Raw genomic sequence first — 27,275 nt, 5'->3', positions numbered from 1 at the left:
CTGTGGATAGTCATCCCTGGGCAATGTATAGAAACTGGGGATGAGACAAATCAGGACATATGGCTTGAGAAGAAGAGAAAGGAGAGGGAAAGGAAGGAGAGATAGACAGAGAGAGGAGGAGGAGAAGTAGGAGGAAGAGGAGGCAGAGAAGGAGAAGGAGAAAGAAGAGGAGGAGGAGGAAGAGAAGAAAAGGAAGAAAGAAGGGAGAAAGAAGAAGAAAAAAGAAAGAAGAGAGAAGAAAGAAGAAAAAAGAAAGAAGACAGAAGAAAGAAGAACAAAGAAAGAAGAAGAGGAGGAGGAGGAGGAGCAGCAGCAGCAGCAGCAGCAAGAGCCAAAGAGAGCCGCCCTGTGTGGGCACGTCTGGGTGCCACTCTGCCAGTTGTTTTCAGAGTGTCATCTTACCCCTTTTCCCAGACAAGCAAATTAGCACTGTAGAGAAAAATATAATGATATGAGCCTCTGCTTGCCCCAGAAATTCAGAGCTCCTAAACAAACACAATTTCCTATGAATATCAAACAAAAAGGAAATAGAAAATCCAGAAGAGCAAAATCAATTTCTCATTGTTCTCTGCAACACCTGCCTAATTTCTTTTAGGTCCTAGGCACAGGGGCCAGCGCTTATTCACAAAGCTTTTTACAACATGGAGAAATCACAATGAAGCTACTACGTCTGCAGAAAAAAAAGCAGAGAATAAAGACCAAAACATGAAATCAGCAAATATGCATGGAGTAACTATGTTTTGGAAATGTGTTGCCATGTGGACTGTTCAGGGCGATTCGCGACTGCTTCCATTTGATCAGACACTCCTATGTGGGGGTGTCAGGATCTCAGAAGTGTTCTTGGGGAAGGACATGTGCTTGGCAAATTTGAAAGGGCTGGCAGCATTCTGAGTACTGGGAAAATGAGGAAAGGAAGATACAAAGATGGAAGTAGAAAACTCCATCAAAGGATAAAGCCAAGCTAGGAAAGGAGACTGCAAAAAGAAGTCAGGAAGCAGAGAGAAGAAGGGCTGCTCCAAGAGGGTCCCAGACAAGGAAGTTGGGCTTAGACTCCCAACTGGACACTGCATCCCCACACAGGCACTACACAGCAAAGCTGCTCCTCTGCATGTAAACCCAGTCTTGCTCTCACAACCTAGGAGTGACATAAGGTTGTGCTTTTTAGAGATAACTTGGGATACACAATGGAAAATACTTTGGAGAAAGGCAAGAACGGATGTGGGAAGATGTTATGTGGCTATTACAGTGAATCAAATGAGTGATGACAGTAGCTTAAATGAAGGTTGTAGCCATGGAGATGATGATGGTGACCTGTTCTCACAAGACCTATGTTTTCCTGTAGGAGCATATGCTTCAGATTGAGAAGGTTCATTCATTAGTGTGAGTCCATGTCAGTCTCACTCTTGGCCAGGAAGCCCTACGAAAGCAGGGAGTACACCTGTGTTTTGGGATATGCTAATACCCTAGGCCATGCTACCATGATGCCAGGCACATGGAAGGATCCAACAAACATTTGTGGAGTGGATGATGGAGTAATTCAGAACCCTTTCCCAAATGATCTCATTCACAGCCATGCTTCAACCACCAGATGGTTGGACTGACCTCACTCAAGTGTCTACGACCAACCTGGCTCCCTCCTCCAGAATTATGTATCCAAGGATCTACTCAGCATTTCCATGTGAAGATGTTAATGTGTCTCAATTGTACTCCACAGGTCCAAAACTGGGCATGTGAACTCCCCACTCTGCAGTGGATTTCTCCTCCAGTGTTTCTCATCTTAGGCAATGGGACCCTGACCACCCAGACCAGGGCTGCCATTCTTCACACCTCCCTCTTCCTCATTCGTGAATCTCCTGTCATTACAAAAGCCTTTCATCTCCTCAATTCTATGGATTATAATCACTTCTCTCCATTGATCACGGTGGTTAAGAGTGCAGGCTTTGGAAGGGCATTGCCTAGGTTTAAAAATAGGCTTCCCCCCTTACTGGCAATTTGCTTAAATTCTCTGTGCTTAGTTTCCTTATATATGAAGTGGAAATAATAATAGTTTGTGCTTTATTGGGTTCTTTTGAGAAGTCAATATGATGATGCATATTATTGCTTTCCAAAGTGCTAGCTGCAATCACCACTACTGCCATCATCATCACTACCATCACCACTACTGTCATCATCACCATCATCATCACCATCACCATCACTATCCCCATGGCTATAATCTTAATTTAAGCTACTGTCATCTCTCATTTGATTCAATGTAATAGCCACATAACATTTCCCCACATCCATTCCTGCCTTCCTCCAATGCATTTTCCATTATGTAACCCAAGTGATCTTTAAAAAGCACAATCTCATGTCACTCATAGTTTTAAATTATATCAGTGGCTTCCCATAAGAGATGGAATGAAAACCAAAATGGTTAACATGGTTTAAATAGCCAAACTTTAGCAATTCTTAGTCTCAAACCCGCTATGTGCCTTCCCACTTCAGGACTTTTACACATGCTGTTCCCTCCGCAGTGAACACTGTTCCTTTAGCTTTCCCTTCTTTCTTTTCCTTCTTGGTCAAAACCTCTCTTAAATGTTACTTATACTCACTGTCTCCACTATAATTCATTGCACAATGTGTTCTGCCCCCATCTTGCCACTAAAATTGCCCAAACAAAGATGATTCCTGGCACCTGCTGCTAAAGCCATGCACTTATTTCTAACCTTATCTGGGATCCTTTCTGAGCATCTGACACTACCAGCCACTATTTCCTTAAAGCCCCCTCTGCCTTGGGCTCCTCAGATTCTGTTCTCCTGGTTCTCCTGGTTCTCTTGCTCTTGTTCTCCTGGTTCTCTTGACTGATTCTTGTTTTTCCTTCATTGGCTGCTCTTTCTGTATCAGCCTTTTAGAAGTCGATTTCCCCAGGTTTCCCACTTGGATCTCTTTGTTTTTTGAGATGGAGTCTCACACTGTCACCTGGGCTGGAGTGCAATGGCACGATCTCGGCTCACTGCAACCTCCACCTTCCAGGTTCAAGTGATTGTCTTGCCTCAGCCTCCTGAGTAGCTGGGATTACAGGTGCACACCACCATACCCAGCTAATTTTTTGGTAGAGATGGGGTTTCACTATGTTGGCCAGGCTGGTCTCGAACGCCTGACCTCGTGCTGGATCTGTTTTTCTTCTGTTCTACTCATTCCTTGTGGGTAAGCCTACCCATTTGCATGGCATCCATTGCATAATGACACCCGAATCTTGTCTCTAGATTCTTTCTCCCTCCTGAGCTCCAGACCCACGCTCCTCCGTGGGGGTGTTTCATAAACACTTTAAACACAACACATGTAAAGCTGAAATCTCAGAATGCCCTCCCTTTCTCTGTCTGGATCTCAATGAATAGTACCAACACCCATTTAGTCGCCCAAGCAAAAGCTTGAGTCATCCTTTTCTCCTTCCTTTCTTTCCCTCCCTATATCTAGTTAATCATCAAATTCTATTGACTCTGTCTCCTTAGATGTACTCAATTACGTTGATTTATCTCTATTCCCAACACCATTCTCTTAGTCCAGGTCCTCATCATTTTCCTTTTGCAGTATGACCACAGCCTCCTAACCCATCTCCCATTGGCCAGGTTTTTTTTTTTTTTTTTAATTCAATCCTTTTTTCTCTGCTGTCAGAGTTTAGGGGAAAAAGTTCCCTAAATGATTGGCCAGAGATCTAGTGGTTTAAAAGGAGGGTTTTTTAGGCAAATAAGAAATTGTTTATTTAAGAAAATATCACCTCTGTGGCCCTTCTTAGTGATTTACCAGGCATATCAGCCTATTTAAGGTTCTGAGAAGTCTTATTGCAAAAGAATCTGTTCAGAATTGTTTAACCAAACATTTCCCAATCTTTTTGACCACACATTCCCTTCCCGAGGGCACACTTCTTAACATCTTGCAGAACACCATGTTGTTGTTTTAGAACACAAATCTGATCATATTACTTCTTTATTTGAAAATAAGACAGATACCTGGATAGACACCAAAAGAAGACAATTTGCACTTTATTCTCTGGGCAATTAGAGGCCCTTGGAGATTCCTGAGCTGGGTAATAACCTAATACCCACACAGTCAATAGCCTCCAGTTATGGGCACTGCTGTGTGCTTTGTGCTTCTCCTCCACCATCTCCAATCCTTACAGCATGATCCCCGGGTGAAGAGACTGAAGCCCAGATCAGTTAATCATTAGGTCCCAGGCCACACAACCAGTAAGGATGGAGCAGGACTTGGCTAGAAGTCTAAGTGGCTTTAAACCCTCAGCTATTTGCAATAAGCAGGTGGCATTTTGCCTGCAGGAGACATTGGAAGCAGGAAAAATCAGAAGGCTTGGACATATTCCTGGAAGTCAGTCACTTCTGTTCTCCACCTCTGTTCCCCACCGACCCCAGATAATGCCTCAAAGCCATTCTTCTTAAGCCTGGGTCTCATTGCCTTCTCCATAGGCCTGTTGTGTTACTTTCATCCCTTAAACACCCAGCAGGGTATATCATACAACTCCAGGAATATCTTGCCCCTGCTTAAAAATATGTGTTGTTCCCTAGTGCCTGTCCATTTCCAAATTTCTCTGCCTGATATTCTAGGCCCTTCATTCTCTGCTGTCAACTTTCCTTTTTGATCTTGATTTTAGATACTTTTCTAAATATAATCCATACTCCAGTCAAACTGAACTACTTACTGTTCAGAGGCCTCCCTGCCTTTTGACATGCTGTTCCCCACTCTTGGAAAGCCTCTTCCTGTCCCCAGTGTCACTGCTTTAAATCCTACCTCTTTTTCAGGACCCTTTTCACTGCTGACTCTATGGAACATGTCCTAATATGAACTAACCTGCTGCTCTCTGTTTTTCAGCACAAAAGAACAATGAGGTGCTCCTCCCTAAACTTGGAAATCAGGTTAACTTCTGAAAATTAAACTAGTAAAATTCACAGTGGATGGCATCAGCTCTTTGCAAAAATGATATACCCAAAGGAAGACTCATGAAGTGGATAAAGAGAGAGGAAAACATCCTCCTGGAGGAAGATGACCAGGGCTTACTCTCAGGACACAATTGTGCCTTTATATCAGAAAGATGAGCAAACAAGGCCCTAATCAAATCAGTTACAGGAAACAGAGAGAGCCAATCAAACTGTAATCAATGGTGATAACTGGCCATGACAGTGACATAATCAATTACACTCTGCTCTGGTGTGTGGAAGCACAGCGTGTGCTATAGCAGACGGAAGGCAGCCAGGATGATGTGGCCAGGGCACAGCAGTACTAACGAAAGGAAACATTCATGGAGTTTAGGGACACTGGCTTTCAGGACATGGGAAAGGTTGGCTATGAGCTGGAGATGGCTCATCCCATGTCCTCAGACCTGATTAGCTTTCCCAAAAGTTCCTGCTTCCTTTGTTCAAATTACCCACTAAGCAACCTGAGAACCAATCTGGATTTCCCTCCCATCATCAGAAAGGGGTGCTCTGGGCAGAGGAAAGGTATGTCCTCAGTGTATCTACTCATGGGGATGCTGGGAAGATTTAATGGAATAATGTGTGTAGAGGGATTGGCCCAGGCTCCACACAGTAATTGTTCAATAAATGTAGATGACTGAAATTAGTTCAGCATGTTGGAGCTCTGCTTATGATGACAATCTCATATACATTTGGTTAAGGTGAACTGGCATCCTGGTGTCCAGGTGCCCTGATGAAGGTGGGTACCTGGACCTGCAAAACAGATGTTGTGATTCTGGGTAGGAGTGAGCAAAAGGACGTGTTGCCAGGCAGGGCACCTGTTAACCCTCCACCTGGCTCAAAGCACCTCTACTTCATTGTCATCCTCTAAGTGCCCCACCAGTGCCTTCCTGTACATGCTCAGCACACAAGGCTTATACCAGTTTTGTTCTATTTTTAATGCAATCACTTGTGTATCTCTAATTCCTATTTCATCAGAGTGTAAACTCTTTGAGGACAGCAGCTTTTAAGTCCCTTGCAGAGCTTCAAGTATCATAAATACTTAATAAGTTGAAATGAATTGAATCAGAGGCCAAACAAATTATCTGGGGTTCAAGCAAAGGCTACAACATGTGTTTCCCAGGCTCCTAGAGAAGTAGTATGGGAACATCTGGAGAGCAGGCCTGGTGATGCAGGCTGAGCACATCTCTCTGATGCCACCTCACCTCTTCCACCCAGGGGTGGATATGGGAGAGCTGCGAGGCTGCAGGAGAGCTGCTCAGCTGCCCAGGAAGAAGACAGAGGGACAGACAGATGGACAGGGCAGACACTTCACACTTACCCGGATCTCCGTCTGGACAGTGCATTTGACCAGTTTGAAGTTTTTCCCAGGATTGAAGCTGTTGCTATAGAAGCAGACCTTGAGGATACGCACGTCCTCCTTTTCCACATCTACTGGTACCACCACCATGGGCTCTGCAGGGCCTTCAGGCCGGCGTAACGTGCCCAACTTTACTCGACTCAGGGGCTCGGACACCCCAGACATCCTCTCAGGCAGCAGCTAAGATCGGCACATTGCAGTCCTGCAGAGACAGCAGAGGGTCAGCCCTGAAAGAGCCCCACACAGGCCCACATACCTCATGGCCCCAGGGACAGCACCCACCGAGCTCCAAGACAGACACAAATGCTATATATTCTCCCATTCCCAAAAGCTCCCCTGCAAGGCACCTGGCTCTCTTGACTGGGAAAGATGCAGCAGAAAGGGGCAAGTTGCAGAAGCATCCAGGTATGAAACCCAGACTTGGGGCTCCCAGGGGTATGAGCTCTGTCTCCTGGAAGCCCCTCTCTCTGACCCATTCCTCCCTCCACCCTGGCACCCAGGCAAGGGGCCCACCCTTAGCAAAGGCAGCTGTGAGAGAAGGCGGTCACAGCTTGGTTCCAAGGCACAGCTGAGCAGAAAAAGCAAAGAGTGAGACAGTAGAAAATAGCAGGAGAGGAACAGGGACAAGGCGGAAAATCTGAGAAGAAACAGATTGGAGAAGAAGTGGCCCCGAGGGAATGGGAATGGAGAAGGCAGGAAAGGGCCCAGGTGGAGGGCCAGGCTGTCAACTGATGCTGTCCACCCCCATCCTCAGCTGCCAACAAAAACTTTCAGGGTGGGAGGCTTCCGTCTGACAGGAGCTCATCACATAGACATCACTGATCACATGCAGGAGGATTCAAGAGGAACAGCGCTCTGCCCAGCAGCCCCGCAGGGAAGGGCATGCTGCACATGGGAAGGAGCTGAGCTGGGACTCTAGAAAACCCAGCCCAGTTCTGCAGACAGCCTGGGTTGACACAGATGTAGATGATAAGAATCCTAGGAATCTGTAGTTCACCTTGAATCAGCAACATTGGTCCTGGCCTCTAGGTCCAATACAACTCAGTAGAGTAGGGTTTATCTCCCACTGATCTAAAGCAGGGAATGCCCAAAGGAAGAAGTGGATATTCTAGCTCTAGATGGATGGCATCGGCCTTAGCTCCACATAATCACTAGGGAAGCTTTCAGAAACCCTAAACCAAGCCCTAACCTCAGACACTGCTGTCAAATTGGTCTGGGCTGAGCATTGACATATTCGTTTCCCAGGACTTTTCTAACGTTTGGCCTGGGTTGGAAACCACTGTTCTAGAACGAGCTTAGCTCTTATCCTGAAACCCCTTCTTAAAGAAAAATATCCCCTTTCTAAGAAGAGACTGTGATTTTAGAGGGAGGGAAATTCCTTGACCAGGAGTTGGGGGCAAAATGATGGAGTTGACAATGTTAAAACACGAACATGGAGTCACACATTTGAAAAGTGGAATCATAGCCTGTATGTATTTATTCACACTGTGCTGGACAATAGAAAAGAAAGATTTAGATAGCCATTAGCTTCAAAGAGCCATTCCTTTTTTAAAAAGTGAATATGTATTACGAAGATGCAAAAGAGAGGCAAGGATGAGAGAAGGAGCTGGGCATGTCCTTCAGGTCAGGGGCAGGCAGACAACAGGCAGCACCAAGCTCAGAGTCCACAAGGGCAGCAAAATGTGGCATAAGACCTATGGAGAGAAGAATATGCAATCTGCTTTAAGATATATATATTCTTATCTAAAAGATATATATATATTCTGGAAGTATCTGTCTATTCTAGAGGTATCCATACCATTTTCCAACAAACATCTGCTGGACATGTCCTGTGTGTCAATACTCTGCTATGTAGTGAAGATGTAACCCGGATCCCCTGACCTTCAACAAGGAATCCAGGGGGAAGTCGTTTGAGAGGTAACCCCAGGAAACATCAGAGAAATGATGACAGGGAGGGGAAAACAGCTAATAAGAGTGATCAAGTGAGTTATCGCTTGCACAACCACAGTTTAATCCTACTGGGAACTCTAGGAGCCAGGAAAGAATGGACCCCACCCAGAGAGGGAGGGATCTGGGGTATTTATACACCACTCTTACAGTCATTGTTCCAGCATATCCAGCCAGTTCTGCACAAGGGAGAGCTGAGAAAGTCCTCAGGCACAGAGGTGCAGAGCTGGCAGCAGGTGGGTAGAAGAGAGGATTGTACTGAAATGGCAGGGCCCAGGGGACACAGGAGGGAACAGTGGCAGCCCTGCTACAGGGTATGAAGATGAGAAAAGCATGCCTTTCCCTAAAGAGCACACACTCTAGTCAGAGAGACAACAGGCAAATATACTCACACAGCACAATATGGCATATTTAATCATGTTTCAGGCAATGGTGGACCGCATATAAGATGGTGGTCCCCAAAGAGTGGAATGGAGCTGAAAAATTCCTCTCACCTAGTGACATCATAACAGTGGCAAGGTCAGAGCACAACGCATGACTCATGTGTTCGTGGTGACACTGGTATAAACAAACCCGCCACACTGCCAGGAATAGAGAAGTCTAGCACATACAATTACGGGTGGTACATAACACTTGATAATGATAATAAAGATTATGTGACTGGTTTATGTACTTCCTCTACTATAATTTTTATCATTATTTTAGAGTATACTCCTTCTACTTATAAAAAAAAAAGTTAACTGTAAAACAGCCTCAGCCAGGTCCTTCAGGGGGTATCCAGAAGAAGACATTACTCTCATACGCGATGACAGCTCCATGTCTGTTACTGCCCCTGAAGAGCTTCCAGTGGGACGAGATGTGGAGGCGGAAGACAGTGATACTGATGGTCCTGATCTTGTGTAGGGTTATGCTAATGTGTGTGTTTGTGTCTTTGTTTTTAATAAAAACGTTTAAAAAGTAAAAAAAATAAAAAATAAAAATCTTTAGAAATGGAAAGCTTATAGAATAAGGGTATAAAGAAAGAAAATATTTTTGTACAGTTGTACAATGCACATGTGTTTTAAGCTAAGTATTATACAAAAGCATCAACAAGCTTTAAAAAAAGTTTATAAAGTAAAAACATTACAGTAAGCTAAGGTTAATCTATTACTAAAGAAATACAGTTTTAAAAAATAAATTTAGTGTAGCCTAAGTACACCGTGTTTATAAAGTCTACAGTAGTGCATAGTAATGTCCTGTGCCATCACATTCACTCACACTCACTCGCAGATTCCGAGAGCAACTTTCGGTTCTGCAAGCTCCATTCACTGTAAGTGCCCTAGACCGGTGCACCATTTTTTATCTTTTACACTGTATTTTTACTGTACCTTTCCTATGTTTAGATACACAAATACCTACCATTGTGTTACAATTGCCTACAGCATTCAGTACAGTAACTTGCTGTATAGGGTTGTAGGAGCCATGTGCTATACCATATAGTCTAGGCTGTACCATCTAGGTTTGTGTAAGTAAACCAGAGAAATGATGATAGGGAAGGGAAAACAGTCAAAAAGAGTGATCAAGTAAGTGATCACTTGGGCAACTGCCATTTAATCCTGCTGGAAACTCTAGGAACCAGGACAGAATGTACCCAACCCAGAGAGTGAGGGATCTAGGGTATTTATACCCTCAATTGTGTTATAATTACCTGCAGTATTCAGTACAGTAATCTGCTGTACAGGTCTGTAGGAGCAATAGTCCAGGTGTGTAGTAGACTGTAGCATCTGGGTTTCTCTAAGTACTCTGATGTTCACACAACTGCCTAATGATGCATTTCTGAGAATGCAGCCTTACCCTTAAGTGACAGGTGACTGTATATGCAGCTATGGAGGCAACACACATACAGCAGGTCCCAGCTTCAGGATATACTGTATCTAGTGAGCCTATGGCCCTGAGGCCCCTGGACATCTTTGGCGATCATGATGTGTCCACGCAGGTTCATGGACTGTGACAAATGCGCCACTCTGGGGGGTGAGGGATGTTGATAGTGGGGGAAGCGGTGCTTGTGTCAGGGCAGGGTGCATGTGGGAACACTCTGCACTTTCGGCTCAATTTTGCTGTGAAACAAAAACTTCTCTAAAAATAGTCTATTAAGAAAAAAATGTAGCAATGAGAAACCACACCCTGATAGTTGTCCTCCCATTCCGCAGCCTGGCTGGGCAGGGTCTAGCCCACTCAGGAGCCAACTCCCATATCGGTCCTGACCAAAGAGAAAGATTCACACTGTACATCAGACCCAATGCAGCCCACCCAGACACATCATCAGCGTGCTTGGAGGACTCTGGTGTCTTATCTTCCTCACTCTCCCTTGGCCCCTGATTCAAGAGCCACTAACTGCAGTCACCAACATAGCTCAAGGAGAAATATTTCAGCAGTCATTTCTGTCACCCAGAATCTACCTCTACCTTCAGCCTGATGCAAGTTCCTCAGTTCTCCCTTTAGCCCTTTGCAGCAGAAACATCTGCTGTGGATGCTCATTCCAAAAGTAATTACAATTTAAAAATCTATACAGAAACACAAGTTCTTTGCACAACAATCTGCTGCCCAATCCTGGGAGGTGGGCAGGAGTGAAGATGGCCATTTTACAGATGGTGACACACTCAAAAAGGTCTAAGCCATTTGGTCAAGGATTCATGCCTGCTAAGTAGCAAACTTAGATCCCAAACCAGGTTTTAATCAAAACCCACAGTTTCTCCCACTTCCCCAGCTGCCTTGGAAGAAGGTGAAATCCCCTAAGGGCGGCACAAACTCCACGAAAGATAAAGATGACAATTAGCATCGAATATTCCCAGTCAGTGAAGAATCCAGAACCTCTCCTGGCTTAGAGATAATCACCCTTCTTGTGCCAGGACTTTGTCTTGAGAGGTCCTAGACGGACTCAACACTAGAATATAGGTTTGATCAAAAGCCTCAGGCCCAGGAAGGTGGTGCCCATGTCTCTATTGACACATGGCAACTTCCTCAAGTGCACCCAAAACTCTGAGCTGTAGACACAGATCTGTAATGAACACTCAGAACTCTTTGAAGCAAAGTAAATGAACGGTTCCATGAAAGGAAGGCATCTGCCACCCCTCTTCAGGTTCTTGAGAGAACATAGCTCTCAATTCCATGCCATCTTCCCTTGCGCTCACCCTGCCTGTGTTCTGCTCCCAGCTCATTTTCTGACTGGCTCTAAAATCTTGTGCAAGTAACTTTACCTATCCCAGCCTCATTTTCCTCCCCTATAAAGTAGGGTAATGCTGCCTACCCTGTTTTCCTCATAGAAGGGTGGTGAAGATGAAGTGAGAAAACATAAGTGAGAGTTCCTCGTAAGCAATAAAGTGGGACACCAGTGAAAGGCTCTATCATCATGACTATTTTCACTTGCCTTTTTTCCAAAATCTTGTCTGATGACCTGTATTCCCTGTATCTTGCTCCTCCTGTCAGTAGTGCTCCAGAAAAAAAAAAAAAAAAGCTCGCTTTGTAGAACTTGCCAATTTCCGTAGTGTAAAAATTCCCACCATGACTGACCTTCAGGTACCAATGCACATCACCACTGAATGCTGAGTTGGGAAGAGATGAGAACAATCTGCTGACTCCAGCTCTTCTTCTTGATGATAGAACTTGTTCACGCCTCTAAATATTGTCTGATTATTTGAACTACTCGTCAATAGCCTATCTCTGGCCTTTAATGATCACAAAATCCTCTGATGCTCAACTCATGAGCCAAAAACTCTGCCCCTTTCTCCAGACCTTCCTGGCTCTCCAAGCCCTGGCATTCTGTCCTCCCTGCTTCCTGGTCTGCCCCAGACCGTCGGAGCAGAGTCAGAGGAGACTACATCCTGTGGCACCAGTGAAAACCCTGGCTCTGAGCCATCCTGGGCTTCGGTTTGCCTCCTGGCCCCCAAATCTGCCACAATCAAAGTCAAAGAATAACAAACACAAGAAATGGGCTCAAATTAAAACAGGAAAACTTCTGATTGTCTGTAAGAACTTCTTGGCCAAAATCTGCAAAGGGTACTACAGGAGGATGGACAATCTCTGAGTTCTTAAGATCTTCAGGAAGAAAATAAATTATGCTCTTCCTGAATGGCAAGACATTGACCTGCCTGCAGGAGGGGGAACTGAAGCAGCATTTACGTCCCCTCCAGATGCACCAGGTTGTAACTGCACCTAGTACTGTGCCCCTGGCACAGGGGAGATGCTAGGGTTACAGGAATAAATATCACAGGAAAACTTAACTCTTGCCTTTGAAGACATTGTAGGGTAATGTTACACATGTTGTGTTCAGTAAACAGCTTAGCCTCTTGGGGAGGCAGACACCAGAGGGGATGCTGAGAGTCCCAAACATAAAATGCATGGTCTTGAGGACTGAAAGTTCTGTTCCTGGCTGGGTGCAGTGGCTCACGACTGTAATCCTAGCATTTTGGGAGGCTGAGGTGGGCAGATCACTTGAAATCAGGAGTTTGAGATCAGCCTGATCAACATGGTGAAACCCCTTCTCTACTAAAAATACAAAAATTAGTTGGGTGTGGTGGCACGTGCCTGTAATCCCAGCTACTCGGGAGGCTGAGACAAAAGAATCCCTTGAACCCGGGAGACGGAGCTTGCAGTGAGCCGAGATTGCACCGAGCCGAGATTGCACCATTGCACTCCAGACTGGGGGAAAAGAGCGAAACTTCACCTCAAGAAAAAAAAAAAAAAGGTTCTGTTCCTGATTTGAGAGAGAGTGGAAAGGGGCCCATTAGTCAGAAAGGCCGTATGATGTCAGGGAGAAGGCGCGTACATTTAACTCATTCAAACCTGGATTTAAACCACTTTCTTCAGGGCTGGTAAGCCATACAACTGGGCCATTACGTGAGTGTGACAACATGGCAGCCTTGAGTCTCTGCCATGGACCCGTTGTGTGATCTGGACAAGATAATCTCTGTAGGCCTCAGTTTCCTCCATTGGGGCATGAGGTCACTATTACTTATCCTGCAGAATTTTCTGGAGTATCAGAGGTTACTTCCATTACTTCTGCAAACTCCTTGGCACATACATTTTTTAAGTGTCTGTGACTTGGAAGAAGAGAGAATTAGAAACATAATACTAAGACCCACTTTTTAATTCTGAAATTTAATTTTAATTATTATTAATTTTTAGAGATAGGGGCTTGCTCTGTTGTTCAGGCTGGAGTTCAGGGATGTGATCATATCTTACTACAGCCTCAAACTCCTGGACTCAGGTGATCCTCTTGCCTTGGCCTCCCAAGTAGCTGGGACTACAGGTACATGCCACCATGCCTAGTTCAATTTTTTATTTTTATTTTGTATAGAGATAGGGTTTCTCTATGTTGCCCAGGCTGGTCTTGAACTCCCGGCCTCAAGTGATCCTTCCTCCTCAACCTCCCAAAGTGCTGGGATTACAGGTATGAGCCACCATGCCTGGCCTTTAAACCTGACTTTTAAAAAATCTAAACTGACCTCCTAAGTGCAGGATCAGGTGGCTGTGGCAGCCCCTTCTACCTCCAGTGCTCCGTGCACTGAGGCTGCCTTTTCACCCAGCCCTGCCTTCCTCCATGCACCTGCCCCACCTCCACAGATCATGCCTCCCTCTCCTCTGCTCCTGCACAGCCCCATTGCCTGTCTCGAAAGCACCACAGGCGCCTGTCCATGGAAGGAAGCTTCCCAGGAGACAGTCAAGTGCAGCCCTTTGGATCTAGCAGAAGTCACAATGTCACGAGACACACACTTTATTTCCACTCCGCCTCTGAATCACTTCCCCTTGCTGTTTCCACATCAACAAGATGGAGAACGCAGCCCTTTCCTATCCCAAAGGCCTGCTGAGTGCAGCCACTTAACTAATTGGCAATGACCCTGCAGTCTCAGGGAGCTGGTCCTAGGTTTCTGGGCAAGGCTGTGCCCTGCTGGCTCCTCACAGTGCCCCCTCCCCAACCAGAGCCCTCTCAGCCCTCAGTTCCCGCAGGGCCAGCATTCTGCCTGCTCCAGGGCCCTCCAGTCCAGCATTTGCTAAATCACCTCCCTCCTCTCCAAGGCTTTCTCCCCATTACCTTGCGGAGGAAAGAACCAGAAAGGTTGTGATTATTGCCAGCTATAATTGAATGTAATACAAAACGCATTTGTTGAGACTTTACCACGTTTTCAGCTCCCCACCCCCGCACCCATTACCCACTGGGAGTCCCCCTGTTGCCAGCTCCTGCCAGCTCAGAGGCCAGCTGGCTTGGGGGGGTCTTGCGGGGCAGGAGGGGAGCAACAGGGATGCATTACCCTGGGCTTTCTTGCTAAAGGAACCTCTCCTCCCCTCAAAGCCTTTGATCCCTGCAGCTAGCCAGATTTTTCTTATCTCCTATTTGACTTCTGGGCTCCATTCTTCTCTTAGTTCTTCAAAAATTATACTCATTGTGCTCCTTACTTGCCAGGTCATGAATGCCTTTTGGCTGGAGTGTCTTCCTGTCTTCCCTCCTGTCTTCCTTCCTTCTTTCCTTCCTTCCCTCCCTCCCTCCTTTCTTCTTTCCTTCCTTCCCTCCTCTCTCTGCCTTCCTATGTTTCAGGAACCATAGCAGACCTGGAGCTATGAAGATAAACAGAAGAGGGAAGAAGGTCCCCATCTATTAGATCATAATCCAGTAAAAAGAAAAAAGATAAAACGGAACAAAACACACAAAAACAGCCACAGCCTGCTACGGTCTCTAATAGAACTCTAAGCATGGGACCAGATGATCACAGAAGAGAACCTGCCTACTGGGCCTCAGGATCTTAGGAAAAAGTGACCCAGAAAGATCAGGAAACCCCATGACATGCTGCCTGTAGGGCTGGTGAAGAGGGTGGGTGAGGGGTCATTGGGAAATGAGACCAGAAGGTGGCAATCTGCTAAGAAATTTTTGAACATCATCCATGGAAAAGCAGATTTTCATTTTAAAAATATAAATCTGGCACAAGGATACAGCACAGGTGTGAGCTGGAAGGCCACAGGGGCAGCGAGAATAAGTGCCTGGTGTGTGTGTGGCCACTGGCAATCTGAGAGAAGGATGCCTTGATTTGTAGCACTTGCCAATTTCTCTGGTGTAAATACTTTCATTGTGGCTGATTCCAAGCCACCAGCATGATGGCACTGAAAGGGGAGTTGGGGAGAAATGGACACCATTGGCTTGTGAGAGTTGGTTCCAGCACACCACTGTCTGAACAGCGACAGACTGGGCAAAAAGGGCAGATCTCAGGGTCCCTGGCCTCAAGCCACCTCTGACAGTTGATGTCCCACTTGTTGCCTGTAGTGGTGGCACCACCCAGTACTTCAAGACAACAATGTACAAGGTGCATGGGGGCATAGCATCTTACCATGTGCCCCTTCCTCCCAAGAGCTTCTTTTCTCTTACTCTCCAGTCCTCTGAAAGTTGTTATTTTCAAAACCACACTCTTTGTCATCTTTAACCCCAAACCAAGTTATCCTCCAACTTCTCCTCTTCAAATCATGATCTCAGCTTTTTCCTTCCCTCTCAACCTCCAACTCCTGCAAATCTCATGTCCCCCTCTGAGTGGGTCACAAAGTTGGTTGCTGAGCGGAGAAATTTGGTACCATGATGAATCAATGCTTCAATTTGTCTGAGTTCTTCCCCATTTTCTTGAGAGTTTAACAAGGAGGTCAGATGATAGCAGGTGAATTCCTAGTTGGTCAAATGGTTTCTTCTAAAGACTGCTAATCAAATGTCTGCATTAACCTGGATGGCAGACTGTTGTTTTAATTGTTCCTGTTCACGCCTTTTAATTGGGTATGAAGGAGCTTGTGGTTATTAAACAAGAAGCATCAAGTTGAGCACAGGATTGGGAGAGATTATGGCTTTAACAGAGGATCAAAAAAAGTTCTTGAAATCCTCACAGGCTGGTAAGTCATGCCAAGTTTAACAAAACGCAACTTGTGAAGTGGGATAAATGAGCCATTCTTCATGTAGATTTAAAAAAAAAAAAAAAGCCTTCCCCAGTCTAGGATGAGAAAGATGTGGTTTAGCAGTGGATGGATTAAAAAATAGGATTTAGGCTAACTGTAAATTCACTGTTAGTCACTATGATGTGGCTGCCAAAAAAAGTTAATGTAGTGTTGGGATTACCAGAAAACCCCTAAGAAACTATGGTGATTTCCCTCTGGGCTCTGCACACACGATCCCACCTCAGCAGTGAAAGCTGAGGGCCTGGGGTTTGAGAGGCCGTCTTCTAGGGCAAGGGCATTCAACAAGGCCCTATCACATGGTGCAGACCCCTAAAACCAAAGAGAGAGTGAGTCATGGGAACGCAGGATGGATTGCTGGTTTTGAACGGTTGTAGGACTGTCCCGTGAAAGATGGATCTGACTCCTTCATCCAAATCAACGTTAAGAAGAAATGTAACAGCTAGAGGAAGAGGAGCTTCACATTTGCATATCACATGCTGAATCTCCCTTCATAGCATTTGCACCCTTGCTACCTCACTGATATCTCCCAAGGCAGGCTGCTCTCCCATTTTGAGGATGAGGAAAAGCGACTGACTGAGCAGCTTGCCTGGGGTCCCCTTTCTTCAGTGGCAGAGATAAGACCAGAGCTCAGATTTTCCACTGTACCCCAACAAACACAGTCCACAGCCTACATCCCAGCAGTGAGTGACCCCCAACCTTCCCTCCACCCCTGATCTGAGCTTGGTCTCCACACATCAAGCTTATTTCTGTGCCAAAGAGTACAGCCCAGATGAACCTGCTTTTCTGATGTAGCCCCCAGAATTCTGCTCAAACACAAATTCCTCATACATGTATGGAAAGGAATGCAGACTTTTGACATGTTAATATGTATATAGTCATGGATATGTAGGACTTGATTAAGGTATATTTTATGATACATGTAATAAACAGAAAAAAAAGTAGGTGATTAAAAAAAAAAAAACCTCAGGTACTTTTTTTAACTAGAAAGTATAAACCCAAGTCTAACTGTACAGATGTAGCCCACCATCTCTCAACACCTTAAAACCAACAAAACCATTGTCTTGAACAAGCTTCACCTGCCAACCCCCTAGTCTGCCACTCTTTGCAAACCTAGTATACGCCAAACATTTGCTTTATGTAAACAGACCTCAAAACCATTCAACATGACCGAGCCCCAATCTGTAGATGTATTTAGTTTTCATTTTAATGCAAATTGGATAAAACAGCAATTTTAATGCCCCTTCAAGCAAACAGGATGCCACCTGTGTGTGAAAAGACTTGAGAAAATTAAAAATAGACAGAAAAGCCCTCAGCAGTTGAAAATGCTAATAAAAACAACTTTAAGGAACCACCATAAACCTATTAAACAAGCCAAGTTACCTAGGGAAAAAAAAGAAAAACTTATGTTCATGGACTTGAAATGAACTAGTACAATTGCCAATTACTCAGAACTGGCTTTCTGAAGCAAGGAAGTTAAATACAAAATAACTCACATGTGTTGATCTTGCTACCCAACGTTGGGAAACATACCGCATCTATCCAAGGCGAGGGGTGTGAAGCATTTGCACAAAGATGTTCCTAGCTGTACTATTTATAGTAGTGAAATAATGAGAATCAAAACAAAATGCTCAGGGGGAAGTCGGAGCACTAGCAATAATGAAAAACTATGATAAAAATATGAGTAGTGCATGAAAAGATTTATATAAAAATGTTAAGTGACAGAGAATGAAATTTACATACTGATTAGAACTACATAAAAACACAATCCACATTTAGAACTGCATGCAGTTAAAGATCTTAAGTTACATCAGTTATAATATTGTTATTTTGGTTAAATATATTTTAGAAATGTGTAAAGTCTATTGCACAAGGATAAAAACTGGACCTCTCTCCTATGCATCAATCTCTATCTCCTCCTCGGATACTGTCTTTTTTTTTTTTTTTTTTTGAGACGGAATCTCACTTTGTCACCCAGGCTGGAGTGCAGTGACATGATCTTGGCTCACTGCAAACTCTGCCTCCCGGGTTCAAGTGATTCTCATGCCTCAGCCTCCCGAGTAGCTGGGATTATAGGTGCCCGCCCCCATACCCAGCTATTTTTTGTATTTTTAGTAGAGAGGAGGTTTCACCATGTTGGCCAGGCTGGTCTTGAACTCCTGGCCTCAAGTGATCAGCCCACCTCAGCCTCTCAAAGTGCTGGGATTACAGGCATGGGCCATCGCGCCCGGCCCTGATACAGTTTTATTTTCTGTACTCTCCACATGGCCCACAGAGAGGGGCTGAGCTTCTTACCACCAAGCTAGATGAGGAAGCAACCAGGCCCCTGAAATTCACCTAGATTTCTGGATCCTATCCAAAATCAGGCTTGGGTTAAATAGGATAGACAGATATCTCAATGAAATGTGACAAGAGAAGAGATGCCTAGGATTACAGAAAGTTATCGCCAACTCTGAACAGTTCTCCAAGAGCCCAGAGTGTCTGGCAGTGCCTTGAGGTCCTTTGCCACCCCATGATCATGATTTCCTCTCCAGCCCTGAGACCTTGAGCATTCGTCCTCTTCCTCCAGCTCTCCATGCCAAAGGGCTCACTTCTGAGAAACAGCAGCAGGTAACAGAGTGCTTCCGTAGCCCAACCCTGGGCTAGCACTTTCCATGCACAATGAGCCCAGTCCATCCTAAGAAAAACCCAAAAGCTAGGTACCATTACCCCCTGTCCCATGGATGAGGTCTCCGAGGATGAGCAGAGTAACTTCCCAAAGGCCACACAGCAAGTCGAGAGCAGAACTGTGATTTGAGTGGAGTCAGAAGGGGCTACAGGTGTGGGCTCTTTACCGCTATGCCCTGCAGTGATGAAGATTCTGGCTATAATTCAGAGTACAGACCTACCTAAGAAGGAGGCCTCATTCCATAGACACCCCCAGAGTAAGGTCCTCTGGGGCTCTGGGTTCTAATGGTAAAACGTTGCTGTTAGATGAGAAACAACCTCAGACAGCGCTTGGTCCCTGGGTTCTTCACCCTGTTTACATGCATGTTGGCATCGCTGGAATATATAGTGTAAATATCTCTAAGCCTTAACCTGACCTAGTGCATGGAGACCATGGGGGTTGGGGCCTAGCCATCTGTATTTCTCCATAACATCTCAGGTGATTCTTTATAAAATATTTTAAACTGAAATTGTATATATTTGAGCTGTATAGCAAGTTGATTATTATAGTCAAGCTAATTAGCATATTCATCTCCACACAGTTACCTTTTCTTGTGTTTGTAGTGAAAACACTTAAGATCTATTCTCTAGGAAGCCCTAATCAGTGCAATTAGGCAAGAGAAAGAAATGAAAGGCATTCAAGTTGGAAAAGAGGAAGTCAAATTGTTCCTCTTTGCAGATGACATGATTTTATATAAAGAAACACCTAAAGACTCCACCAAAAATTGTTTAGAGTTGATAAACAAATTTGATAAAGTTGCAGGATATAAAATCAACATATAAAAACCAGTTCTGTATACTTATAACCAACTAGCTAAAAAATAAATAGAAAAAGTAATCTTGGCTGGGCACAGTGGCTCATGCCTGTCATCCCAACATTTTGCAAGGCTGAGGCAGGAGGATTGCTTGAGTCCAGGAGTTTGAGACCAGCCTGCACAAATAGGGAGACCATGTTTCTACAAAACATTTAAAAATTTGCCAGGTGTTGGGCCGGTCATGGTGGCTCATGCCTGTAATCCCAGCACTTTGGGAGGCCGAGGCAGGAGGATCACCTGAGGTCGGGAGTTCGAGATCAGCCTGACCAACATGGAGAAACCCTGTCTCTACTAAAAATACAAAAAATTAGCTGGGCATGGTGGCTCATGCCTGTAATCCCAGCTACTCGGGAGGCTGAGGCAGGAGAATCGCTTGAACCTGGGAGGCGAAGGTTGTGGTGAGCCGAGATCACACCATTGCACTCCAGCCTGGGCAACAGGAGTGAAACTCTGTCTCAAAAAAAAAAAAATTAGCCAGGTGTGGTGGTGCACACCTGTGGCCCCAGCTACTCAGAAGGTTGAGGTGGGAGGATCAGTTGAGCCCAGGAGGTCAAGAATGCAGTGAGCTATGATGGTGCCAATGTACTCCAGCCTGGGCAACAGAGTGAGACCTTATCTAAAACAAAACTAAACAATCTCATTTATGATAACTACAAAAATCATAATAAAATAACTGGGAATAATTTTAATAAGAGAGGATATTTTTTAACCAAGAAAGACCTTTATGATGGAAACTATAAAACACTGATGAAAGAAACAGAGGAGGCCAGGCGCGGTGGCTCACACCTGTAATCCCAGCACTTTGGGAGGTCAAGGTGGGCAGATCACGAGGTCAGGAGCTCGAGACCAGCCATTTCGAGACCAGCCTGGCCAACGTGGTGACACCCCGTCTCTACTAAAAATACAAAAATTATCCAGGCCTGGTGGCACGTGCCTGTAATCCCAGATACTTGGGAGGCTGAGACAGGAGAATTGCTTGAACCAGGAGGCAGAAGTTGCAGTGAGCCACGATTGCACCACAGCACTCCAGCTTGGGTGACAGAACAAGACTCCATCTCGGCGTGTGTTGGGAGAGTGGGGGGGTGGGAAGAATTAGAAGAGGACACACACACAAAATGGAAAAATGTTCCATGTTCATGGATTGGAATAATTAATATTGTTAAAATGACCATACTACCTAAAGCGCTCTACGAATTCCATGCAACCCCCATCAAAAGACCAATGATATTCTTCACAGAAATATGATAGAAAAGACAATCTTAAAGTTCATGTAGAATCAAAAAATACCCCAAATAGCCAAAGCAATTCTGAGCAAAAAGAGCAAAGCTGGAGGCATCACACTACCTGATTTCAAAAATACTACAAAGCTAAAGTAACCAAAATAGCATGGTACTGATATAAAAACAGACACACAGACAAATGAAACAGAATAGAGAACCCAGAAATACATCCACATATTTATAGCTAACTGATTTTCAACAAAGATGCCAAGAACATACATTGGGAAAAAGACAGTGTTTTCAATAAATGGTGCTGAAAAATCTGAATAACCATATGCAGAAGAATGAAACTAGATCCCTATCTCTCACTATACATGAAATCAACTCAGAATAAGGACTAAAATGTGAGATTCAAAACTATAAAACTACTAGAAGAAAGCAGGGTAAATCCTTCGGGACATTGGTCTGGGCAAATATTTTGCAGGTAAGACTTCAAAAACACAGGTAACAGAAGCAAAAATAGGCACATGGGATTAAAAAAAAAAACAGAGACAGCATCTCACTATGTTGCCCAGGCTTATCTTGAACTCCTGGCTTCAAGCAATCCTCCTGTCTTGACCTCCCAATGACAAATGGGATTGTATCAAGCTACAAGCTTCTGCACAGCAAAGGAAACAACTGACAGAGTGGACCAGGCAACCTGTAGAATGGGAGAAAATATGTGAAAACCGTTCATCCAACAAGGGACTGATATCCAGGATACATGAGGAACTCAAACAACTCAATGGTAAATAATAATAATTTTTTTTTAATGAGCAAAGTATCTGAAAGGACATTTCTCAAAAGAAGACATATAACCAGGTGTGGTGGCTCACACCTATAATCCCAGCACTTTGGAAGGCCAAGGTGGATGGATGACTTGAGGACAGGAGTTCAAGACCAGCCTGGCCAACATGGGGAAAGCCCCTCTCTATTAAAAATTCAAAAATTAGCTGGGCATGGTGGTGCACCTGTAATCCTAGCTACTCCAATGGCCGAGGCACGAGAATCATTGGAACCCAGGAGGCAAAGGTTGCAGTGAGCCGAGATCATGCCACTGCATTCCAGCCTGGGCAACAGAGTGAGACTCCGTCTCAGAAAAACAAAGAAGACATAGAAATGGCCAACAGATAAATGAAAATATGCTCGATATCACTAATCATAAGGGAAATATGAATCAAAACTACAATGAGATAGCATCTCACCCAGTTAGAATGGCTATTATCAAAAAGACAAAAAATAACAAATGCTGGTGAGGATGTTGAGAAAAGAGAACTCCTAAACGCTATTGGTGGGAATGTAAATTAGTATAACCATTACGGGGAACCGTATGGAGATTCCTCAAAAAAACTACAAATAGAACTAGAACTACCATATGATCTAGCAATCCCACTACTAGGGATTTTTTCCAGAGGAAATTAAATCATTATGTCAAAGAGATATCTGCACGTCCACATTGATTGCAGCACTACTCACAATAGCCAAAACAGGAAATCAACCGAAGTGCCCATCAACAGATGGAGTGCTATTTAGCCATGAAAAAGAATAAAATCTTGTCATTCACAACAACATGGATGAGCCTGGAGGATGTTATGTTAAGTGAAATAAGTCAGGCACAGAAAGAGAAATACTATATTTTCTCACCCATAGGTGGGAGCTAAAAAAGTTGAGCTCACAGAAGTAGACAGAATCGTGGTTATAATAGGCTGGGAAGGGCAGGGTGGAAGGTGGATGGAGAGAGGTTGGTTAATGGATACCAAATTAAAGCTAGATAGGAGGACTAAGTGCTAATGTTCTGTAGCTCTGTAGGGTGACTAGAGTCAATAATTTATTGTATATTTTTAAATAGAAGAGAGGATTCTGGATATTCCCAACACAAAGAAATGATAAATGCTTTCCATGATGAATATGGTAATTACTCTGATTTGATTATTACACAGAGTATACATGTATTCAAATATCATTCTGTACCCCATAAATATGTACAGTTATTATGCATAAATTTAAAAAATTACTAAAATTAAAAAAATCAACTCTCTTAGCCAATCTGAAGTATCTAATACAGCATACTTAGGTACAGTCACCATGCTGTGCATTAGATCTCTGGGACTTACTCATTCTACGTAAATAACTTTGTCCCCTTTGACCAACACCTCCCTCTTTCCCCACCTTCCTAACATCTCAGGTGATTCTGGTACCCACCCGGTGAGGCTGAAGAATGGCTGGCTTGGCCCTCAACTCACTGTGAGAACTGAATCGAGAGAGACTTACTACATGGTGAGGCCTCTCCACTGGGACCCAGGTCTCCCAGTTCCCAGGCTGCAGGCCTCCCTCCCAGGGCGGAGCTCGGCAAACATTTGGTGCCACGATGGATCTCAGGGAGTGACAAGTCTCAAAGGCAGGCCCTTCCTGGGTGTCTCTGAGTCTCTTATTTTAGAGCAGAGTTGTGGTTTCAGTTTTAGTTTCTTGTCGTTACCCAAGCCCTTTATTGGGAAAAAAGGCGCTTGGGTAAAAAGAGAAAAAAAAAATAGGTGTTTTCAATCATTCAGCGTTCAGAAAATTTGGGGGAACTTTGGCCTTTAAAATTCCAGCCACGAGGCTTCCAAAGTAGGGAAACCCTGCATGTGGTAGCGAGAAATCCCCCTGCAGGCAGCTCTTCTCTGGCAAGTCTCCCCTGGCACAACTCACATGGTAGCAGGAGTTTTCCTCCCTGGTGAAAAACATCAAATAAAATACAAAGGGAAAACCCAGCTGAAAATTTCCTGAGCAAGGTCACAAAATGACTGCTATCCTTTCAGAAGAAAGGTAGGAGAAAAAGGTCTCAGGGATCCAAAATCAGACATGAACACAGCACCAGGAAGCCAGGGCTGGGCAGAGAAAGACGTGACCCCGAGAGTCTCCTGTGGATCATGATGTGAGTAGCAAGTCCCTGAGAATAGGAGCTTATGGACAGAAAGCTCAGCAATGTGTCGTCCAAACAATAATAAACAACAATAACAAAAACAACATCAAAAAAGCACAGGGCCAGGTGCAGTGGCTCATGCCTGTAATCCCAGCACTTTGGGATGCCAAGGCGGGCAGATTGCCTGAACTCAGGAGTTCGAAACCACCCTGGGCAACATGGTGAAACCCCGTCTCTACTAAAATACAAAAAAATTAGCTGGGCATGGTGACGGGAGCCTATAATCCCAGTTACTCAAGAGGCTGAGGTGGGAGAATCGCTTGAGCCCAGGAGGCAGAGGTTGCAGTGAGCCAAGATCACGCCATTGCAGTCCAGTTTTTTTAGATACCATCTCAAAAATAAAATGCACAGATTTTTCCCTGCGATGCTGTTCTCACCTGGATGGAGAGACTCACTCGTAAATTAACTTGCATGTGCTAAAAGGTAAGTAATGAGGAGACTACTTAGGCATATTCAATTAAGGGAATATGAAGATTCCAGAGATTATATGCAAATTATCTATGGAAATGTGCTCCTATGGTTACAGCTGAGTTGTACACTGAAGGAAAACAGAGAAATTAAAACAGCTGTGGTAGGCTGGGTGTGGTGGCTCACGCCTGTAATCCTAGCACTTTGGGAGGCCGAGGTAGGTAGATCACTTGAGCCCAGAAGTTTGAGACCAGCCTGGGCCACAGGCAAGACTCCTATCTCTACAAAAAATTTTTAAAAAGACCCCGGCATGGTGGCATGTGCCTGTAGTCCCAGCTACCCAGGTGGGTGAGGTGGCCTAGGAGTTCAAAGCTCAGTGAGCTATGACTGTGCCATTGCACTCCAGCCTGGGCGACAGAATGAGACCCTGTCTCCAAAAGCAAACAAAAAACAGTGGTTGCAGAGAGGAAATTAAATGTTCCCTTTTAATGTTGGTTTGATTTCCATGATACATCTAAAGACTCACTTCGGCTACCTCTTTAAATACATTAGACCTAAGCCTGAAAAGAATGAGAAGCCTGCGACCTACTTCCAGCTCCCAAGCACTGACATTCCCCATGCAGCCACGTTGGGAACAGGGCAGTCAGAATCCTGAATCCTGGGTTTCATCTCTATAAAAATCGGGCATCCAGCTCCCCCGTGTCGGATGTGAGTCTATGTTTGGCATAACGGTGCCGGGGCCCTTTCTTCCTTTAGCTCTTTGTTCATTGAGGTTTCTGAAGCACACAGGAAGTCAGAAAAAAGAACAGCAACCCACTTCTCCACAGCCTCACCACAGACAAGAGGCAGCAGGGAGGAGACAGCCAGTGAGGAGGGGAACTGTGTGCTGCTCTCCCCTAGCTCCACTTGGGGTGGGGGATAAGATGAAGCAGGTGGGAGTAGAGTGTGGGGGTTATGTCTACACCCCAGTTTTCAGGAGCCCCAGAAGGAACCAAGTTCTACTTTTCTGCTTCTATTGACAGAATATTCTGATTGCCTTGTGTACACACACACACACACACACACACACACACACACACACACACACACACAGATAAGCTGTAAGATTTTATACTCTTGAATCATGTGCAACTTAAACCCCAGAGCAACACTCGGATAACTTGGAGACATCACCTTATCTATCTGACCTCAGCTTTTCTCATCTAAAAAGTGAGGGGATTAGGTGAGGGGATTAGGTGAGAGGGACGTTCTTCCAACAGTCTTGCATATGAATATTTCATACTGTTTAAAGTGATCGTTCAGCTCCTGAAGTGGTTTATTTCTTCATTGTTTGGCTGAAAATACTTCCATATTTGCAGAACCCCCCTGAATCCCTCACCATAGCCCAAGATTCCTTAAGGTCTGGGCTAAAGCCCCTGGACTAGATTTGATGCTTCCAGGATCATTGTCTTGGTCTATAATTCTGGGAGCTAAACTCGTTAGCTACAAGGAGAGACCTTGGTTGTTGAGGGAGATATGAGACAGTGGAGGGAAGAAAAGGTGAGGGAGAGAAAAGCAGAAAGAAAGAAAAAGATAGAAGGAGATATTGATAAAAGAGAAAAGTAACAACTAAGATTGTAAACTCACCAATGGCAGGAACCAAAGCTAAAGGGAATGTCAGATAATTTGTTTTTACTTCCCTCGTTTTTACAAGTGAGGGAACCAAAGGTAGGGATGTTCCCTTCCCCAAAGTAAATGCCCTGGGGTGTGCTAGCTTTCAAGTAATCCCTTGAGGACTGACTATGCAGGTGATGCCAGGAATAGTGTTAAGTAGGGGAGGAGGTTTACATTTTCCAGAACCTTCTCCACCTGCACTCAACACCTCCTAATCTTTACCTGTGAACTGTGCTCTTGGGGGAGGCTCCTTCCAGCTAGAGATAATGTGCCCACCTGTTTAGAAATGGAGTCTCCATTTTAATGTAATGGCGCCCTTCAGTAAAAATACCCTCCCGTGACACAGGCAGTGCATGTGACAGAGAGCTCACAGTGTACTAGCTCTTTGTCTTCTCTCCTGCCTCCGGAGGTGGCCCTGGCCCCTTTACAGGAAGGAGACACTGGCTCAGAAAGGGTTAAGACCACACTCAGCTGGAGACAGAATCAGGACTAGAACTAAGACCTCCCCATGGCAGCCAAAGAAGGATGCCAGGTGTGCAAAGTTCTTATCACACTGGCATGAAACAAGCACATTTCTGGAGCTCTGTCATGGCCCAGTCTAATCATCTGGGACAAATCCTGTTACCTCCCTGAATCTCAGTGTACGTGCCCATAAAATTGGGCATGTTAGCACTATCTTTCCCAGAACTGTTGTGAACATGAGTAAAAATAATATCCATCATGTACGTGGTAAACTACACATACCCAACACTGAGTGTTGGCCGTGATCACAGATCACCCAAGTTCCTCTGGTTCCTTCAAGCATCTGCATATTTCAATGACAGGCGCCCCTTTTGGCAAAAACAACCTATCTATTCCATTTCTGGTTGGTTTTCAGTACCAAAGAGGTCTTTCCTAGGATATGTTAAAGGAGTTTTTCTACACCTTTTACCCGCAGGGGGCAGCTCTGCCTCTGGAGCTGTGAGACACAAGTTGCACCCTCCTCACTCCCACTTTGCACAGCGAGTCTCTGGTTCTAAACGCAGGAGTGAAAATGTTATAGGAAAGGGGTCCCGATCCAGACCCCAAGAGAAGTTTCTTGAATCTCACACAAGAAAGAATTGAGGGTGAGTCCATAAAGTGAAAGCAAGTTTATTAAGAAAGTAAAGGAATAAGAGAATGGCTACTCCATAGACACAGCAGTCTTGAAGGCTGCTGTTTGCCCATTTTTATAGTTATTTCTTGATGACATGCTAAACA

At 44.7% G+C, this 27,275-nt stretch overlaps 1 protein-coding gene across 43 annotated transcripts in view, besides 6 other annotated features; it reads right to left on the bottom strand.

Moving 5' to 3' along the window:
* Positions 1–27,275, bottom strand: part of PTK2B (protein tyrosine kinase 2 beta) — a 148,886-nt gene that overhangs the window by 55,315 nt on the left and 66,296 nt on the right. For 35 of the 43 annotated variants that reach the window (XM_047421544.1, XM_047421545.1, XM_047421552.1 and 32 more), the window contains one exon: positions 6,289–6,529. In XM_047421544.1, coding sequence (XP_047277500.1) covers positions 6,289–6,492 — 204 coding nt within the window. In that variant the 5' untranslated portion in view covers positions 6,493–6,529. Of the gene's footprint in view, positions 1–6,288; positions 6,530–17,729; positions 17,803–23,215; positions 23,416–27,275 lie in introns of those variants that run through there. The other 8 variants (XM_005273447.5, XM_047421559.1, XM_047421562.1 and 5 more) reach the window with 3 other exon arrangements.
* Positions 10,767–10,906: an enhancer, noted in NCBI's record as "active region_27153". NCBI's record gives its function as "activates an Ori minimal core promoter by ATAC-STARR-seq in GM12878 lymphoblastoid cells {active_cell/tissue: GM12878}" and the evidence as "EXISTENCE:reporter gene assay evidence [ECO:0000049][PMID:35858748]".
* Positions 11,219–11,348: an enhancer, noted in NCBI's record as "active region_27152". NCBI's record gives its function as "activates an Ori minimal core promoter by ATAC-STARR-seq in GM12878 lymphoblastoid cells {active_cell/tissue: GM12878}" and the evidence as "EXISTENCE:reporter gene assay evidence [ECO:0000049][PMID:35858748]".
* Positions 16,338–16,387: an enhancer, noted in NCBI's record as "active region_27151". NCBI's record gives its function as "activates an Ori minimal core promoter by ATAC-STARR-seq in GM12878 lymphoblastoid cells {active_cell/tissue: GM12878}" and the evidence as "EXISTENCE:reporter gene assay evidence [ECO:0000049][PMID:35858748]".
* Positions 23,074–23,383: an enhancer, noted in NCBI's record as "active region_27150". NCBI's record gives its function as "activates an Ori minimal core promoter by ATAC-STARR-seq in GM12878 lymphoblastoid cells {active_cell/tissue: GM12878}" and the evidence as "EXISTENCE:reporter gene assay evidence [ECO:0000049][PMID:35858748]".
* Positions 23,634–23,693: an enhancer, noted in NCBI's record as "active region_27149". NCBI's record gives its function as "activates an Ori minimal core promoter by ATAC-STARR-seq in GM12878 lymphoblastoid cells {active_cell/tissue: GM12878}" and the evidence as "EXISTENCE:reporter gene assay evidence [ECO:0000049][PMID:35858748]".
* Positions 25,385–25,574: an enhancer, noted in NCBI's record as "active region_27148". NCBI's record gives its function as "activates an Ori minimal core promoter by ATAC-STARR-seq in GM12878 lymphoblastoid cells {active_cell/tissue: GM12878}" and the evidence as "EXISTENCE:reporter gene assay evidence [ECO:0000049][PMID:35858748]".

The sequence above is a fragment of the Homo sapiens genome, chromosome 8 (genome assembly GCF_000001405.40).
Source record: "Homo sapiens chromosome 8, GRCh38.p14 Primary Assembly".
In the NCBI taxonomy this organism is placed as follows: domain Eukaryota; kingdom Metazoa; phylum Chordata; class Mammalia; order Primates; family Hominidae; genus Homo; species Homo sapiens.
The sequence above is the reverse complement of the archived record's forward strand: the minus strand, read 5'-3'. Positions and strand labels throughout refer to the sequence as shown.